Genomic DNA, 18,954 nt, shown 5'->3' with positions numbered 1-18,954 from the left:
TTCGCCTCAATCTGGTTCTGCCTCAGTTTTTCCTTACTGGTAACATATGCTATCAGTGATTTATTGCAGAGAACACAGCTGACTGACTACATGTCCTGTCATTTTCTTTACATGCACGATTGATAAAACAATGACAGTGGCACAGTCACTTGGCATCACAGTAATTCTTAGAAGAACGTCAGTCATACCAGAGACCATTTCACTGATTTTTTATTAGGGCAAGTGCATGTTCTGTAACATATTTCACTTGCAAGCATGAAAGATGAGGTCTCTCTCTTTCTACATGGGCCGCTCCCGGGGTCTGGTCACAATATACCACCACAGTGGGGGCAAATCACCTTCCTTTCGGGCAGGGGGCAAAGCTTCAGTTAAAGGACCACCAGGTGGCGTTTCCTCCTGCAGCTGCTTAACCTAGAAGGAGGCAAGGAAGGAATCATTACCAAAGGAATCTAATTGACTATAAAAATCTGTCTGCTGCAGTGAAGGGTCAGCTTTATGTCTATGGTGTGTCACTGACATTACACACTATCTGATCACAATATTGAAAAGTGTTTTTTACATATACCTGCTTTATTTTCATATCCACACTTTTAGAAAAGTCTCCTTAAGGGTTTTCCCATTCTTTTAAATAGCAAAGCCTACCCTTCCTATTCTTCCCCCTACCCCTTTTCATCACCTCATTATCTGGACCTCCTCTTATTCTGCAGACAGAAAAATGACAACTATCATTCCAATTCTCCTTGTCACAGCCCCCACCCACTGACCAGAAAAACATTTATTGTTGTGTCTCAGCTAAGTGTTCTCCAAAAGCACCATTAAGAAACCTCAGTTCATAATATGCTGGGGATGTTAATTCTAAGCCCCCTTCCTAGCAACCAAGAACAAAAATAAATCACAAAATTACATGTAAAAATATGCTCAGTTCTGCCAAGTGCTGCCCTACTACCTCCAGTTCTAGTTATGGCCAAGATAAATGTCCTAACAGAAGATCACCCATTCTGGATTGTGGCTGCCCTGGGCCTCCAGTCACACGTGCTGCTTAATAGTGTTGAAGTGATGGGATGTGTAAAGGAGGAATTGTTTGATGTTATCCCAGTGATCAATTGCAGAATGCACCTGCGGCTCACCATGCATATACTTCAAGCTTCTAAACGGTGAGACATTTCTGACAAAACACTGCCCCCTTTGGCCACAGTGCCCTTCCTTCGGGTCCCCCTTGGCCAAACACTTCCAAAGGTCAATATCCTCAGTGTTATCACCAGAACCAGCACAACTTCCAAATCATGAATTCAAATATCCCACTATCCAACCACACTCTCCCTTTCCCACTCATTTGTTTAAATGCCTCCTTGAAACTCAGACTACCAATTCACAGATCCTCCCAACTTGGCCTTCCCTCTCTGCATCTGCCCCCACTGGCTTGACTTTGTTTTTTTTTAAATTCAGCTTAGATTCCATCATGACAACAGCTTCCTTTCGAATAACCTCAAGTCCCTTGTCACTCTCTGAGCAACAGACAAACCGAACCATATACCCTCAGGCCTGTGCTCATACAGCTTAGTATTGCTAAAGAGAAAAAAGATATGGGAGCAAATCGGAGTCATTACCCACTGATTATTCCCAACCTCAAATGGGCCTTTGCCACCTGGCCATCCTACTACTCTCCAGCAAGCTCTTCCTCGCCTCATGACTATCACATCTTGTCCACATTCTCCAAATATGCTGCACCCACTCATTCTGGGCTTTTCCTCTTATTTCACTAAAAAAAGGAAGCTATCACACAAGTCTGTCATCTTCAAAACTTCTAACCCAAATGTATTTATATACAATCTTTTGCCCAATTATAATGCACAAAGAATCCTTTTTCCTTTTCTTTTTTCTCTATACTCTCTCCTAAGGATTCCATACATCTCTCCATGGCTTTTAAAACTGAAAACTCCCACGTTTCTGTTTCTAGGCCAAATCTCTCCTGGGAGTTCCAGATTTCCACATCTGAAGTTGGCTTCTGACATCTGCACTTGATGTCTCACAGGATTCTCAAAACTTCACACTTCCAAAATGAATTCTCGATTGCTGCTCTGACACCTGTGCCCCCTTCCCCAATCTTCCCTATCTCAGTAAACATCACCAAACTCCAGATGTTAAAGCTTAAAACCCAGAAACCATTCTCTCTTTTTTTTTTCTTTTGGGATGGAGTCTTGCTCTGTCGCCCAGGCTGGAATGCAGTGGCGCGATGTCAGCTCATTGCAACCTCCACCTCCTGGGATTCAAGCAATTCTCCTGCCTTAGCCTCCCAAGTAGCTGGGATTACAGGTGCACAGCCCCCACGCCCAGCTAATTATTTGTACTTTTAGTAGAGATGGGGTTTCACCATGTTAGTCAGGCTGGTCGTCATGAACTCCTGACCTCAAGCTATCACCCACTTTGGCCTCCCAAAGTGCTGGGATTATAGGTGTGAGCCACCGCACCCTGCCCCAGAAACCATTCTTGATTCCTCCCCATCCCTCACCCACCCTCAACATCCAGTCAGTCGTCACATCCCTCCAAATGATGTCCTGAGTCAATTTCCTTCCATATCCACTTCATCCACCCTAGTGTTAGTCATGACAACCTTTTGACTAAACTTCTGCAATAATCCTAGAAGGGTCTCTCTGCTTCTCCTCTTCCCCTCTCCAATATATTCTTCACACTACAGCAAGATTGAGCTTTTAAAAATATAACTGACCATCCTAACATGACTGAAAAATGCCTAAGAAAATAGTGGAGAGGCAGGTTGAGGGAAAGTATAGCAAGAAGGCAAAAAAGTCAGACAAAGGACTAAAGAGAAGGAGATCTGAAGCAAAATCAAAGACAAAGCCAAAACGACCAGGGAATGCACTTTAACTTACTTGTAAGGTGATTATAAATGTTAAATTGATACACTTAGATACTAAAGTATATCTGAGAAGCAAGGGCCCAGAGTAACTGTCATGGCTGGAATCTGGACCTCTGCTTGTGGGGAGCAAAACTTCACTCCATCTACATAGCTAAGGAATAACGAAGTACAAGTAGAACGCACCTCTCGTTCCCAGCTTTCCCTCCGCAGTTTCTTCCACTGTTCTCTCTTGGCAAAGTAATCAGGATACATTGCCTTCTCAGAAGGATGCCAGTCATCTAAGCACCATTCTGGGACCTGTCAGGAGAGGAAATCATGGTATCAATCCACAGGACACATTTACCTATCCCTGACAGGGCCTGCTCAGGAGATGTAAGACAAAGATCAAGATATATTTTTATAACCACTGCAACTACCAGACTGTTTCTAACTCTAAGCAAGGAACAGCAGAGGATAAGTAGGAAGCAAAGATAAAGGAAAACACCTTAGAGTCAAAGACTGTGCTGAAAAATAGCACCATCATCAGTCCAAGGAGAACTGGCTTCATTCCTCCCCTACCTGCCTTCTCTAAATATCCAGAGTAGTCTTATCTTACTTGGAACTCTTAATTAGAGTATCTCAGAAATATTAAGCACCAATCCAAGTTGGTTAACTTTAAAGTCCAAAATGAACTTTGTTATAGCAAAAAGTATACTGTACGACCTTAAATCTGAATGTAGAAAGAAAAGTCTTAATGACGTCTCAGAGAGAGAAAACTGACACCTAAGAAACAGTACAGGCACACCTTAGAGATACTGGGGGTTTGGTTCCAGACCGCTGCAATATAGCAAATATCACAATAAAGCAAGTCACAAAATGTTTTTGGTTTCCCAGTGCATATAAAAGTTTTGTTTATACTATACTATAAAGTGTCCAACAGCATTATGATGTCTGTTGAGATGGAGTCCTCCTGGTGAAGATTTTGTGAATATTGATTAACTGATAACAAAGGACTTTGAACAGTACATCAACTTAGTTGATAAAGCAGTGGCAGGGTTTGAGAGGATTGATTCCCATTTTGAAAGAAGTTCTTCTGTGGGTAAAATGCTATCAAAAGGAAAAGTCAATTGATGTGGCAAACCTCACATAATATACATAAAAAATGTACATAATTTAGGCCAGGTGCAGTGGCTCACGCCTGTAATCCCAGCACTTTGGGAAGCTGAGGCAGGCGGATCACCTGAGGTCAGGAGTTCGAGACCAGCCTGACCAACATGGAGAAACGCTGTCTCTACTAAAAATACAAAACTAGCCAGGCATAGTGGTACATGCCTGTAATCCCAGCTACTTGGGAGACTGAGGTAGGAGAATCGCTTGAACCTGGGAGGTGGAGGTTGCGGTGAGCCGAGATTGTGCCATTGCACTCCAGCCTGGGCAAAACTCTGTCCCCCTCCACCAAAAAAAAGACATAATTTAAAAATACATTATTGGTTGGGTGAGGTGGCTCCTGCCTTTAGTCCCAGCCCTTTGAAGGCTGAGGCAGGGAGATTCTATGAGGGTAGGAGTTCCAGACCAGCCTGGACAACATAGCAAGATTCCATCTCTACAAAAAATAAAATAAATTAGCTAGGTGTGGTGTTGTGCCTCTGTTTTCTTAGCTACTTGGTTGGCTAGGACAGGAGGATTGCTTGAGCCCAGGGGATCCAGGCTGCAGTGAGCTATGATCATGCTATTGCACTCCAGCCTGGGCAACAGAGGGAGACCATCTCCCAAACAAAAACAAAAGAAATACGTTATTGATAAAAACTGCCAACAATCATCTGAGCCATCAGAAAACCAATCTTTTTACTGGTGGAGAGTATTATATCAATGTTGATGGCTGGTGACTAATCAGGGTGATGATTGCCAAAGGCTGGAGTGGCTTTGGCAATTTCCTAAAATAACGAGGTTTGCGACATCAACTGACTCTTCCTTACACCAAACACTTCTATAGCATGTGATGCCATTTGATAGCATTTTACCCACAGAAGAACTTCTTGCAAAATTGGAGTCAATCCTCTCAAACCCTGCTACTGCTTAATCAACTAAGTTGATGTGCTATGCGAAGTCCTTTGTTATCATCAATGTTCACAAAAACTTCACCAGGAGACTCCATCTCAAGAAACCACTTTCGTATTCATCCATAAGAAGCAACTCTTCATCTGCTCAAGATTTATCATGAGATTACAGCAATTCAGTCATATTCTCAGGATCAGCTTCTATTCTGGCTCTCTTGCTATTTCCACAACTTCTGCAGTTACTTCTTCTGCTGAAGTCTTGAGCCCTTCAAAATCACCCACAAGGGTTGGAATCAACTTCTTCCAACCCCGTTAAAGCTGATATTTTGATCTCTTCCCATGAATCATAAATATCCTCAATGGCATTTAGAATGGTGAATTCTTTCCAGAAAATTTTACTTTGCCCAAATCCATCAGAGGAATCACTATCTATGGCAACTATAACTATGCAAAATATATTTCTTAAATAATAAAACTTGCAAGTGGAAATTACTCCTTGATCCATGGGCTGCAGAATGGATGTTGTGTTAGCAGACATGGTAGCAGGTCTCAACAATGGGCTTAAAAGATTCAGTAAACCATGTTGTATACAGATTTGCTGTAATTCAGGCTTTGTTATTCCATTTCTAGGGCACAGGCAGAGTAGGTTTAGCATAATTCTTAAGGGCCTCAGGATTTTCAGAATGGCAAATGAACAATGGCTTCAACTTAAAACCACCAACTGCATTAGTCCCTAACAAGAGAGTCAGCCTATCCTTGAAGTTTTGAAGCCAAGCATTGATTTCTCTCAAGGTATGAAAGTTCTACATGGTATCTTATTCCAAAAAAAGGCTACTTCATCTCCACTGAAAATCTGTTGTTAAGTATAGCCACCTTCATCAACTATCTTAGCCAGATTTTGTGTAATAATTTGCTGCAGCTTTTCCATCAGCACTTGTTGCTTCACCTTGCACATCTGTGTTACAGAGATGGCTTTTTTCCTTAAACCTCATGGACCAACCTCTATTAGCTTCCAACTTTTTTTCTGCAGCTTCCTCATCTCTCTCAGCCTTCATAGAAATGAAGAGTTAAAGACTTGCTTTGGATTAGGCTTTGGCTTAAGGGAATGTCGTGGCTGGTTTGATCTTTTGTCCCAACCACTAAAACTTTCTCCATATCAGCAATAAGACAGTTTCACTTATCATTTGTGTGTTTAGTGGAGCAGCACTTTTAATTTCCTTAAAAAAACCTTTAATTTCCTTTGCATTCACAACTTGGCTAACCAGCGGAAAAGGCCTTGCTTTCTACCCACCTTGGCTTTCAACATGCCTTCCTCACTAAGCTTAATCATTTCTAGCTTTTGATTTAAAGGAAGAGACGTGTAACGGATTTAAAGTGAGAGACATGTAACTCTTCCTTTCACTTGAACACTTAGAGGCTATGGTATGGTCGTTAATTGTCCTAATTTCACTGTTGCTGCGTCTTAGGGAATAGGGAACCCTGAGGAGAGGGATAGAGGCGGAGGAACTATTGGTCGGTGAAACAGTCAGCACACGCACATTTATCGATTAAGTCTGCTGTCTTATGTGGGCATGGTTTTTTTGTGCCCCAAAACAATGACAATAGTAACATCAAAGGTGACTGATCACAGTTCACCACAACTGTGTGTAGATAGAGTAATAATAAAAAAAAGTTTGAAATATTGCAAGAATTGCCAAACTGAGAAACAGAGACAGGGAGTGAGCACATGCTGTTGGAAAAATGGTGCCCACAGACTTGCTCAGCACGGGGTTGCCACAAACTTTCAATCTGTGAAAATACAATATCTGCCAAGCACAATAAAACAAAATGCAATAAAATGAGGTAGGCCTGCATCTGACAACTGTCAGGAAATAAGTCTCCTAGCTACCCCTTGAAGGGCAAGTGATTTCTGAGGCTGAGGTGTGGGACTGAAGAAACAAAGTCTATTTCTCAGAAGGCAGTCATCATAATTCTCACCTACCTTGTAGCAATCGTATCTCTCATAGGAGGTGCCCCCAGGAGAGTCAGGGAAGATGTATGGCTGTGGATGCTGACGGTACCAGAATTCTTCCTCGGCCTCCTTCAGCAGCTGGGTGGCCTTCGCCATATCCTTTTCATTCTTATGTTCTTCAAACCGGGCTCTCATCAAACAAGCAAAGTATCGGTATTTGTCTCTTAAACCAAAATGATTTTGAAGATTAGAAATGTTACCTACTCACGTGGTCAGTGTTGCTGTCTGACAGGAGGCTGCACTTCTGATACCTTCTGGATGGGCAGTGGACCTACCCCAACCCTCCCAATGGAGCAGCCGTATCATCATGGCTGCTTCCTCTACAGCCCACCAAACAGCAGCAGCAAAAAAATACTGTATTAAATATATACCCTAACCATTTTTCTCCTCTTACATCCAACAATGGAATGAGGATTTAAACAAAAAAAAAAAAAAAAAAAAAGAAAAGAGCATTCGCAAGAGAAAAGCTATAACCTCTGCAGGATCATTCAACATTCATTGAATGACAACTTCCATTTCCTTCTATCTTGTGCTAGTCACTATGCTAAATTCTGGAGATACAAAGATGAATAAGAAAGGTGTTACTTGGCAGAAACAGTATTGCTTAGCTCATACAGAGCTAGGTTTGTATCCTGACTCTGACACTAGCTGCATAAACTTAGGCAAGTTAAAGTCAAGTTCTAAAGAAACTGGGCAAAGATCAGTTAGGAGGTTTTGACAATAATCTAGGACACAGCTGACGAGGGCCTGAAAGTACGGAGCTGTGATGGTGACAGGAGACAGGGGAGACATTGAGACTTCCAAGTTATGAGAATAGGCTCTCCAGTCAGACTGTATGGGCCTGAATCTTAGCTCTGCCACTACTAGCTGTGTAACTTGGGGTAAGTTACTGTCTTCTGGTCAGGTGCGGTGGCTCACACCTGTAATCCCAGCACGTTGGGAGGCCAAGGCGTGTGGATCACCTGAGGTCTGGAGTTCAAGACAAGCCTGATCAACATGGAGAAACCCCGTCTCTACTAAAAATACAAAAATGAGGCCGGGCATGGTGGCTCACGCCTGTAATCCCAGCACTTTGGGAGGCCAAGGCAGGGGGATCATCTGAGGTGAGGAGTTCTACACCAGCCTGGCCAACATGGTGAAATCCCGTCTCAGCTAAAAATACAAAAACTAGCCGGGCGTGGTGGCAGGCACCTGTAATCCCAGCTACTCTGGGGGCCAAGGCAGGAGAATAGCTTGAACCCGGGAGGCAGAGGTTGCAGTGAGTCGAGATTGTGCCATTTGCACTCCAGCCTGGGGGACAAGAGCGAGACTTCATCTCAAAAAAAAACAACAACAACAACAACAAAAAGGCCAGGCACGGTGGCTCACGCCTGTAATCCCAGCACTTTGGGAGGCTGAGGTGGAGGTCACCTGAGGTCAGGAGTTCAAGACCAGCCTGGCCAACATGGCAAAACCCCGTCTCTACTAAAAATACAAAAATTAGCCAGGCGTGGTGGCGCATGCCTGTAATCCCAGCTACTCGGGAGACTGAGGCAGGAGAATTGCTTGAACCCGGGAGACGGAACTTGCGGTGAGCCAAGATCGCGCCACTGCACTCCAGCCTGGGCAACATAAGCGAAACTCCGTCTAACAAAAAAACAAACAAAAAAAGTCTTCTAGGCCACGGGTTCCTCCTCTGTAAAACAGTGGCAATAACAGTGTGTATATCTTAAGGTTGTCATAAACAGTCAATAAGATAAACACACTTTAAAAAGTGCCTGGTACATCCCAAGTGTTAAATAATGTCAGTTACTAATATCATACTGGAAAGAGAATTTATAAAAACCAGTGTCTAATTATACATGGTGTATGAGTATGTGTGTTATTGGCAAAGGAATAAGGAGCAAATACTTGAGAACAATTCTGAGACTTAAAGCTCAGTAACTGAATTACTAATAATACCATTAGCGGAGGCAGGGAATTTGGGAAAAGAGTCAGAATGGGGAGTGACAGGAAAACAAGTTTGATTTCAAAGAATTTAGATAAATGGAGATTGAGAGAACGGTTGGTGATCTTTTCAATTTTTTTTTTATTATTATTTTTTGAGACAAAGTTTCACTCTTGTCGCCCAGGCTGGAGTGCAATGGGGCTATCTCGGCTCACTGCAGCCTCTGCCTCCCAGGTTCAAGCGGTTCTTCTGCCTCAGCCTCATGAGTAGCTGGGATTACAGGCACCCACCACCACGCCTGGCTAATTTTTGTATTTTTAGTAGAGACGCGGTTTCACATGTAGGCCAGGCTGTTGAACTCCTGGCCTCAGGTGATCCACTCACCTCAGCCTCCCAAAGTACTGGGATTATAGGCGTGAGCCATCATGCCCAGCCAACAGTCGTGATCTAACAAGCAATTCGAACTACAGCTCTAGAGACAAATGAGCGCAGGTGGTGACAGCACTAAATGAGGCTGCCCGAGTACATACAACAACACAGTATGCCTAGGATGGAACCACAGAGAACAGCACAATGAGGGCAAATGGAGGAAGAAATTAAGGCAAGGATTGAGAAAGAATGTCAGATCTAAAAAATGCTGAGCCATAACTGTCATAGTAGCTAGTTTATATCATTTTCCTCTAGAACTATGGACTTTAGTATTCCCAGCTATAGTTCAGTATTGCTTGAATTCTTTTTTTCATGTTTAACTTTTTTTGACACATAATTATTGTACCTATTTATGGGGTACATGTGATATTTTAATACATCCATATAATGTATAATGATCAAATCAGGGTAATTTGGATATTCATCACCTCAAACATTTACCATTTGTGTTGGGATACCTGAATCCCTGATGGCTCAACTTCCTTCATCATCGATTTGTTTACATGTCCATTTTCCCCACTAATCCGTGAGCTGCTGCTGCTCAAAAATGGATTTACTAACATTTATATATTTAGCATAGAGCATAGAATCTGAATTGCAAATTCTGTCAAATCAATAAATAAATAAGGAAAACTCAAGGAAGAAACTAACAATCCCATCACATTGTACTTGGCCATCTTCCTGCCAAATCAAGAGAAGTATGTCAGTGATTTTCTAATAGTCACATATATGCAATCTGGGCTTCGAGGGTACCCTCTGTAATTCTTCCAGGCCTACTCCATTTTCCATAGAGTTTTTTTCCCAGAAGGCCTTCTTATAAAACTACGTTTGGAGAGTCGTAAGACTGGAGTGGAGGCGAGGCACTCACACATCTTGGGTTGTTAGCCCACCCTGCAATGAATTTAGGTGATTAAAATCTACACATTTTAACACTATGTTCTCAGACTAGTCTCAGACGGATAGAGGTCGAAAGAGAATTATGTAAGAGGTGAAAAAGATGTAAAGGTAATGAAAAGGACTAGATGAAGCTAAAAAGAGAAAAGCTAATGGGAGGGGTGGGAGAATGATGATGCTTTGGAGAAAGACCTAAATTTTAACCCTGGCTCAGACACTTAGAAACTCTATCACCTTGCGCAAGTTACCAGCTGTGCTCATCTTCTTATCTGTAAAATAAGCTTAAGATAATTCCTAACTCCTAGAGTTTTGCAGACTGAAGAAAATAATGCATAGTTTATTGCTGTTAATATTGGAAAGGAGAAGATCGTGAAGAAAACGATTGAGCGAGCGCTGGACCCATGACAATTACAATTTTAGGCACTTTCCTTTATTTCACTTAATTTTCCTGCGACCCTCTGCGCTGGTCGTGCGTCCGTTTTACTAAACAAAAAGCTGACGCCCAGACCCGACAAGCAACTCTACAAGGTCTCCCGGCCATAAGTGGCGAAGCCTGGATTTGAACCCGGGTCTACCATAGGATTCTGTGAAGCGAGAGGCCACCTTCCAATTCCGTTCCCGAAGTCCTTGAACCTCCAGGTACCCAGGGGCCTCTCCACCTCCATGGGGCCCCGAGGGTCACCTCCCCGAGTCCTGGGTCCCCATCCCTTACCTCTGGACGCACCACGACTCGAGGTGGCGTAGCGCCCGCTTATAAAGCCGCAACACCTTTTGCTGATGGGTCAGGTAGGGTCCCGACGCCAAGAACGCCATTACGGCGCTGACCTTCCCCGGCCGCGCGGAGAGCCGGGAAACTGCACGCCTGCTGCGGGTGACTGAGCGGGGCCAGCCGGAAGGGCGGAGTTGCCGGCGGCCACTTCCGCTTCCGCTGGGGAGGTCCTCCATGCGCAGTCATGAGTCGCTTCAAGTTTATCGGTAAGAGGAGCGTTTTCCACGCCCTTGGGTCTTTCTGACTTGTCCCGGGCGTCGGTCACCAAGGTCACAGGACCCAGGAATTGCGCCCTCCGGCATTGTAAGGGTTGAAAGGGCCGCTCAGTGGAGGAGGGCGCGGGGAGGTTTCTGGGTGCTGGTAATGCTCTGGTTCTTGATCTAGGTTCTGGATTCACGAGGGTGTATTTATTTGTAAAAATTAACAAGCCGTACAGTTATGATTTTTGTGCTGTTTTCAACATCTGTAATGTATTCAGTTTTTTAAGAAGAAAACTCCAAAAAGGCCAATCACTATGTTTCCATTCATCCCACGTGCACCTCCCGGCCCTTCCCCTCTGCCTTGGCGGAGAGGCTGACCGCTTCTGGGGACCAATTCACTCAAGCATTCATTCGTTCATATCATAGTTAGTGAGCGCCTCAAGTGGGCCTGGCACTGGCCTAGGAACACAGGGCACAAAGCTCCCAGTTGTACTGTCATCACCATCTGGTGGAGAAACTAGAAAACACAAGTAATGGGGAGAAAAACAAACTGTACTTGGCAAGTACAATGATCCAGTCGGCATCAGTAGAACGAGAGGGAGAATGCTGCGGGATTTAAATGGGCATGATCCTCGTTTTGTGGGGTTTCCAGCTACCTGAAGGTGGGAAATGACAGTGATCACACCTCTGCTTTAGCAAGGTAATCCTGATAGCTATTATGTAGGTTTTGTGGGAAATAGGGAGAGGTAGGGAAGCATTTCAAGAGCTTAAACTAGGGTAATGGAAAAGAGAGAGAAATGGAAGAGATGTGTGCAGCATTTAGCAGCTGAGTGTTCATGGCCGGTAGTAGAGAGTGAACAAAGATGACTCAGGGTTTGGAAAAGTACTTAAATATGAAATGGAAGCATGACTAGTTTGGCGGTGAAGAGAGGTACCCAGGTCCATTTGGATTAGGTTAAGTTTGAGATAATTATAGGACATCCAGGTAGAGATATCTGGGCAATTGGGAATGTGGTCTGGCAATCAAGAGATTAGGATTATACATTTAGATCTGAGAGTTATTTAAGCAGTATTTTTTTTTTTCAAAGACGTTGTGCTAAGTCCTGTGGAACTGTAAAATCTAGTGGTGCAGTTTTCAGACTGGAGACCTAAGACCTATGTACTGTACAGTCAAAAGCAAATGCAGGGGAGAATATGTTAAGTGCCAGGAAAAAGGTTTTGAAATTGCTGTGGGAAAGCCTGGAGTAGGGGTTTGGGGAGGGGTTGTCAAATAAGACATTGCCGTGTCTTAGCCTTTCCATCCTAACCTTTGATATAATTGATGAGGGAGATGGAATAAAGAGCCATGAAGTACTCCGTAAAGAAAGGCCACATAACTTTTTAAAAGTGTGTTTATGTTATACAACCAAATTCCTGCCTCAAGTTAATGTCTTAAATCCATCCTCCATGTAGACTCCATTTTGGTGTATCTAAAAATCAAATCAGCTAAATGTTTCTTTTGCTTCAAATCTTTCATTTACGCTCCTCAGGATAGCCTAAATGCTTACACACCATACAAAGCCCTTCTGTGGTCCAGTCCTGCCCACTTTTCTAGCCCATCCCTGGGCTGCTCTATAAACACTTGTGCATGCTGTTTGTTACCTCTGACAAGGTTTTAGAGTGGCAGTTTGGGGCCAAAATATTCCTCTGCCTACCAACTACCCTGTTGCCTGTCTGCCTACTCACTCCTTAAAACTTATACCACATTATTTATAATTAAATATGAGTATGCCTTTCCCACTAGATCAAACTCTTAAGGCAGATACTGGTATGGTATTTATATTTTTTTCCTAGGGGCGTAGTACAATGACTGTTTGGGAAAGTATGAATGAGTGGCTTTAGTGCTAAGGTGATAAGAAAATTAGTAAAGGGATTAGCATCAGATAAAATAAGCAAGAAAAGACTTCTTAAAGAAGGTGACTTTATTGGAATAAATAATTGAAATAAATTTTTTTCTGTATGGTTTCCTTTAGCCCCACTCTCCTAAAGTAACCATATTAAAAGTTTGAAGTATAGCCTTCCCTAATTTTTTAATAGATTGTTATACAGATTCATAAAAATACAACATATCAAGGTTTTTTTTTTTCCTTTTGAAACAGAAATGAGATCATATTATGCATTCTATCCTTGGTATATGACTTACTCTGATATTTAATCTTTCAGTTTGTGTCATTTAAAAAATTCTGCCCATGAATCGCTAGACTAATTTCTTAGCCTAATAATGAGTTCTGAACAATATTTTGAAAAACATCATATTAAATCCCTGGAACAAGCTTCACATGGGACAATTGCATGAAAAATTGAACCCATTTTATGAAAATTACCTTAGATTTTGGTTTAAGACAGCTGACCATTGTAATTCTTTCTACATTTCTCTCTTTTCTACTTGCATAACAAGTGGCTGCCCCTTAGAACTATACCCCAACAGTGGGGGTTTTTGTTTGTTTTGAGACAGGGTCTTGCTCTGTCACCTAGGCTGGAGTACAGTGGCTTAGATCATGGCTCCAGCATTGACCTCCTAGGCTCAAGTGATCTTCCTGCCTCATCCTCCCAAGTAGCTGAGACTAGAGGTGCTCACCACCATACCAGGCTAATTTTTTTTTGTAGACCACTGTGTCCTGCTATGTTGCTCAGGCTGGTCTTGAATTGCTGGCCTTAAGCAGTCCTTCCACCTCCGCCTCCCAAAGTTCTGGGATTACACGTGGAGCCACTGGCCAGCATGAGAATTTCTTTAGCCCAGCTTATACTCTCTTTTCTGTCTCCACAAGTGGAATTCTATTCCCTGGGTGTTATTTACAAACTCTTCCACTCTCAAAAATACTTCTACCTGTAACTATTATATGCCAGAATCTCTACTGCATTGATCTTAGACTACATAGTACACCAAAAAATGAGAAATATCTGTGCAAGAAGAAAATGCAAAATACAAACAACAGTGAAAATAAAAACATCATATTCCATTCCTGATATAGTTTAGATATTTGTCCCCTCCAAATCTCATGTTAAAATTTGCTCTCCAATGTTGAGGTGGTCCAGTGGGAGGTGTTTGGGTCACTTCCCAACATCCATCTCATGGGGGTGGATCCCTCATGAAAGGCTTGATGGCCTCCCTGTGGTAATGAGTTCACACTGGCTCCCCTTCCCTTTCCACCAGGATTGGAAGCTTACTGAGATCCTCCCAAAAGCAGATGTTGGTGTCATGCATCTTGTACAACCTGCAGAACCATGAGCCAAATACACCTCTTTTCTTTATAAATCACCCAGTCTCAGGTATTCCTTTATAGCAATGCAAAAGCAGATTAATACAGTTCCTCCAAATCACACATAACACCACCATGTCTATCTTTCCAGATCTTCTGTAGGCATACCAAACAAAATAAGATCATACTGAGGCTACTCTTTTGTGCTCTGCTTTTTTCAATCACAGTCTCCACCTTTCCATTTCAGGAAATGTTCATCTTAACTAGTACCAAAATCATACTCAAATTTTTCCTGTTGTTCCAAAAATGTCCCTTGGTGGTCATGTCCAAAATGGTATCCCATTTAGAGCCACACATTTGGTTGTTCCTTAAATTTTTGAATCAAGTGCAGAGGTTTGCAAACTTTTTCCTTAAAGGGCCATATAGTAAATATTTTAGACTTTGAGGGCCACGTGATCTCTATTGCAGCTATTCAACTCTGCCCTTTTGTGTACTGTGATGTAATAGTAAATACGTGTGTGTTCTCTGCTCCCATTTCTTTGTGCACAACTCCTGAAACCCTTGGAATCTCCTAAGTGCTAAGTGTCTTTTTGTATGCTGCTAAGATGACTGATGGCTGGGGGCTCCTGGATAGCCTCAGGATGGGGGTTTGCCTAGGAAAACCCATCATGTGATTAGAGAGTTGGAAGTTTCAGTCCCTCCCACCCACTCCCACTTCTGGGGAAGGGGAGAGAAACTGAAGGTTGAGTTGTTCACTAATGGCCAGTGATTTAATCAATCATACCTACATGGTGAAGCCTCTATAAAAACCCATACATGTCTCTATGTGTCTCTTCCACCTGGCCGTTTTTGAATGGCATCTTTTTACAATGAATGGGTAATAAGTAAAGTGCTTTCCTGAGTTCCGTGAGCTGCTCTAGCAAATGATCAAACCTGAGAAGGGGGTTGTGGGAACCTCTTATTGTAGCCAAGTTAGACAAGTTGTGGGTAACCTGGGAACCTACTGCTTGTAATTGGTATCTGAAATGGGGAGAGTCTTGTGGGACTGAGCCCTTGACCTCTGCGGTCTGATGTTATATCCAGGTAGATAGTGTGAGAATTGAGTTAAATTATAGGTCACCCAGCTGGTGTCAGAGAATTGGTTGTTGGGAGAGGAAACCCCACACATACCTGACGTCAGAAGTGAATCCTCACGCCTGTAATCCAAGCACTTTGGGAGGCCAAGGTGGGAGGACTGCTTGAGCCCGGGAGTTCAAGACCAGCCTGGGCAACAAAGTGAGACCCCATCTCTACTTAAAACAAACAAACAAAAAATTCAGAGTATTGTGAGTATGAGAATACTGTAGGAGAAAGCAGTTTGCATTTTTTCCTATCTCACACCTTGTCATTCAAAAGCAGGTGATAGACAGTATGTAAATAGGTGTGGCTATGTTCCAGTAAAACTTACGGTCACTGAAACTTGAAGTTCTTATAATTTTGATGTGTCACAAAATATTCTTTTGATTTTCTTCAACTATTTAAAAATGTAAAGTCATTCTTAGCTTAGAGGCAAACAAAAGTAGGCAGTGGCTTGTGGGCCTTAGTTTACCAATCCCTTGCTCTAGCGCATTTCTTTTTTTTTTTTTTTTTTTTTTTTTTTTTTTTTTGAGACGGAGTCTCGCTCTGTTGCCCAGGCTGGAGTGTAGTGGTGCAGTCTGGGCTCACTGCAAGCTCCGCCTCCCAGGTTCACGCCATTCTCCTGCCTCAGCCTCCCGAGTAGCTGGGACTACAGGCGCCCACTACCACGCCCGGCTAATTTTTTGTATTTTTAGTAGAGACGGGGTTTCACTGTGTTAGCCAGGATGGTCTCGATCTCCTGACCTCGTGATCCTCCTGCCTCAGCCTCCCAAAGTGCTGGGATTATAGGCGTGAGCCATCGCGCCCTGCCACACATTTCTTTTTTTAATGTCACTGACTTACCAAAGCAGCTGTGCTGGTTGTGCCTGTGAAATAAAAATAAAATTCTAAGCCCCCTAAACTGGCTGAACAGAACCCCCCTCGACCAAGTAGACCCCAGAAAAACATGAAAAACTAAGATTCCCAAACATGACAAGATGAGGGGTTGGTCCTGGTCTCCTTCCTTACTAACCAATACCAGACTTTTTTCCTACAAGTTGAACAGAAACCAGCCCTGGAAAAACAAAGATTGGAAGACTTGCTCCTCTGCTGACTTCAGCCAACTGCCTGACATTGGGACCAGCTCCCCTCCTTTTTTGCAGTTTCACCATGACAGCTGACCAGTTTCACAAGGCATTCCTTCCTGTACTGAGGGCAGTTGCCACCCCCTCAGGCCTCATCAAGGCTACCAAAAAATTACTCCTGGGATCCCCTCTCGTTGTATATGTTTCTCATTCAATTTAGGCCCTTTGCACCTGTCCCCTCACTCAGCATCTTTAAGCCAGTTGATTGACCTCCTATGAGATACTTTTCTCCTCTTCTAACCTAACCATAATTTACTGTAACCTCCTTAATGTAGCTACCATTTTGCGTTTTTTTTTTTTGAGACAGAGTCTCACTCTGTCGCCCAGGCTGTAGTGCAGTGGCGCCATCTTGGCTCACTGCAAGCTCCACCTCCCGGATTCACACCATTCTCCTGCCTCAGCCTCCTGAGTAGCTGGGACTACAGGCGCCTGCCACCACGCCCGGCTAATGTTTTGTATTTTTAGTAGAGACGGGGTTTTACCGTGTTAGCCAGGACGGTCTCGATCTCCTGACCTCGTCATCTGCCCACCTCGGCCTCCTAAAGTGCTGGGATTACAGGCATGAGCCACTACACCTGGCCCCGTTTTGCCTTTAATAAGAGATTAACGCACCCAAAGACTGTGTTGTCTTTACAGACACTTTTCTCTCACCTCATATAGACTTAAGGGAGACCCCCTTACCCACTAATGGATCCTTTCTCAAAAATTCTGCTGGCTTCCATTATGCAGCCTATGTGGTGGTCTCTGTGATGGGAATCATTGAATCAGGCCCCCAGCCAACTGCCCGATCTGCCCAACGAGCAGAATTAGCATCCCCTCACTTGGGCCTGCCTACTGGCCTGGGGTGAAACGGTTAATATTTATGCAGACAGCACGTATGTCTTTGGAGTTGCCCATGATTTTGGCATGCTCTAGAAACAAAGAGGATTTTTTACTTCCTCTGGACAACCTATTAAGAACAAAGACTAGGCCAGGTGCAGTGGCTCACGCCTGTAATCCTAGCACTTTGGGAAGCCGAGGCAGGTGGATCACTTGAGGTCAGGAGTTTGAGACCAGCCTGACCAACATGGTGAAACCTCGTCTCTATAAAAAACACAAAAATTAGCCAGACGTGGTGGCATGCACCTGTAATCCCAGCTATGTGGGAGGCTGAGGCAGGAGAATCACTTGAGCCTGGGAGGTGGAGGCTGCAGTGAGCTGAGATTGCACCACTGCACTCCAGCCCGGGCGACAGAGTGAGACTCTGTCTCAGAAAAAAACAAAAACAAAGACTGTTTTGTTTCTCTTAGATGCCATTCAGGCTCATTGAGCCCTAGCCGTTATCATAGTCGAAGGACATTTCTCTGACAAGACAGAAGACAGCGAAGGCAACCACCTAGTGGATGCAGCAGCTAAAGCTGCCACCCAGCATGTGGCTCCTTCCCGAGTTGTACTCAACCCACTCCTCCTCCTCCTCCTCCTCCTCCCCCCCTTGCTCTTCCTTCTTCCTTGCTCCCCTCCCCATCTGAAGACCTTTCCAGACTTATTTTCACAAAAGACAGTCTTGGAGTCTGGAAGAGGGAAATGGATGAAACAAAATTGCGCTTGCAATCCCCAGACAAAATTACAGGAAGGTCCAAATGGACATCCAGTCCTACCCAGCACCCTGCAAAGACAAACAACCTTCATACATAATCTAACCCATTAGAATCCAGACAAAATGATTCAGTGGGGTAGACAGTACTACTGTATGGTGGCTCTCTCCAGCTCTTGCCCCACCGCTATGTAAACTTTGCAATATCTACCCTCAGTATAACCCAGGTGAACTCCTGAAGCTCCCTCCAGGACAATTTCCTCTCCCCTAGGGTCCCTTAACCATGTGACAACTTGATTTCATTTAGTTACCACCATCCCACAGATTAAATTTTGTTCTTCTAATGGTTGACGATGTATTCTCATTGAGGTAGGTCTTTCACCTGTAAACAAGCAACAGCTATGGTGGTGGCCAAAATGCTGCTTGAGAAAAACCATTCCTATCTAGGGTGTTCCCACTGAATTCCACAGCGACAGAGGCACTCATTTTACCTGCCAAATACTAGAACAAGTTTTTTAAATCTGCCCTTTTACAGCACTTTCACTGTGCCTATTACCCCCAGTCCTCTGGGCTAGTTGAACAGTCTAATGGGATCATTGAAAGCGAGCTGGCGAAAGTTACAGAAACTTAACCTGTCCTTGCCTAAAGCTCTCCCATTAGCATTACTGATTCTGCAGTCCATTCCCACCAGTAAATGTCAGCTCTCCCCTTTTGAAATTGTTACTGGTTGGTCTGTGCACTTAGACCAGGAAATATTTTCT

The 18,954-nt window shown here is 43.6% G+C and overlaps 2 protein-coding genes across 18 annotated transcripts in view, besides 1 other annotated feature; one reads left to right on the top strand and one right to left on the bottom strand.

Moving 5' to 3' along the window:
• NDUFB9 (NADH:ubiquinone oxidoreductase subunit B9) lies at positions 193 to 11,049 on the bottom strand. 4 transcript variants are annotated; one of them, NM_005005.3, is made up of 4 exons: positions 10,885 to 11,049; positions 6,893 to 7,085; positions 3,059 to 3,172; positions 193 to 411 (listed from the first exon to the last, which is right to left on the bottom strand). In NM_005005.3, the coding sequence occupies exons 1-4, from the start codon at positions 10,983 to 10,985 to the stop codon at positions 280 to 282; spliced, it is 540 nt and encodes a 179-aa protein (NP_004996.1). In that variant the 5' UTR covers positions 10,986 to 11,049; the 3' UTR covers positions 193 to 279. The 4 variants fall into 4 exon arrangements, with proteins under 4 accessions (NP_004996.1, NP_001265575.1, NP_001298097.1 ...); NM_001278646.2 differs by having other exon boundaries at positions 6,893 to 7,083; NM_001311168.2 differs by having other exon boundaries at positions 6,893 to 7,052.
• Positions 11,084 to 18,954, top strand: part of TATDN1 (TatD DNase domain containing 1) — a 50,595-nt gene continuing 42,724 nt past the window's right edge. For 8 of the 14 annotated variants that reach the window (NR_027427.1, XR_007060756.1, NM_001146160.1 and 5 more), the window contains exon 1: positions 11,084 to 11,147. Coding sequence is in view for 5 of the 14 variants with exons in the window: in XM_011517331.4 (XP_011515633.1) it covers positions 11,126 to 11,147 (22 nt within the window). In the remaining 9 variants the exon portion in view is untranslated. Of the gene's footprint in view, positions 11,245 to 18,954 lie in introns of all 14 variants that reach the window. The other 6 variants (XR_007060757.1, XM_006716666.5, XM_017013895.3 and 3 more) reach the window with 4 other exon arrangements.
• Positions 11,157 to 11,226: an enhancer, noted in NCBI's record as "active region_27886". NCBI's record gives its function as "activates an Ori minimal core promoter by ATAC-STARR-seq in GM12878 lymphoblastoid cells {active_cell/tissue: GM12878}" and the evidence as "EXISTENCE:reporter gene assay evidence [ECO:0000049][PMID:35858748]".

The sequence above is a fragment of the Homo sapiens genome, chromosome 8 (assembly GCF_000001405.40).
Source record: "Homo sapiens chromosome 8, GRCh38.p14 Primary Assembly".
NCBI lineage: Eukaryota > Metazoa > Chordata > Mammalia > Primates > Hominidae > Homo > Homo sapiens.
The sequence above is the reverse complement of the archived record's forward strand: the minus strand, read 5'-3'. Positions and strand labels throughout refer to the sequence as shown.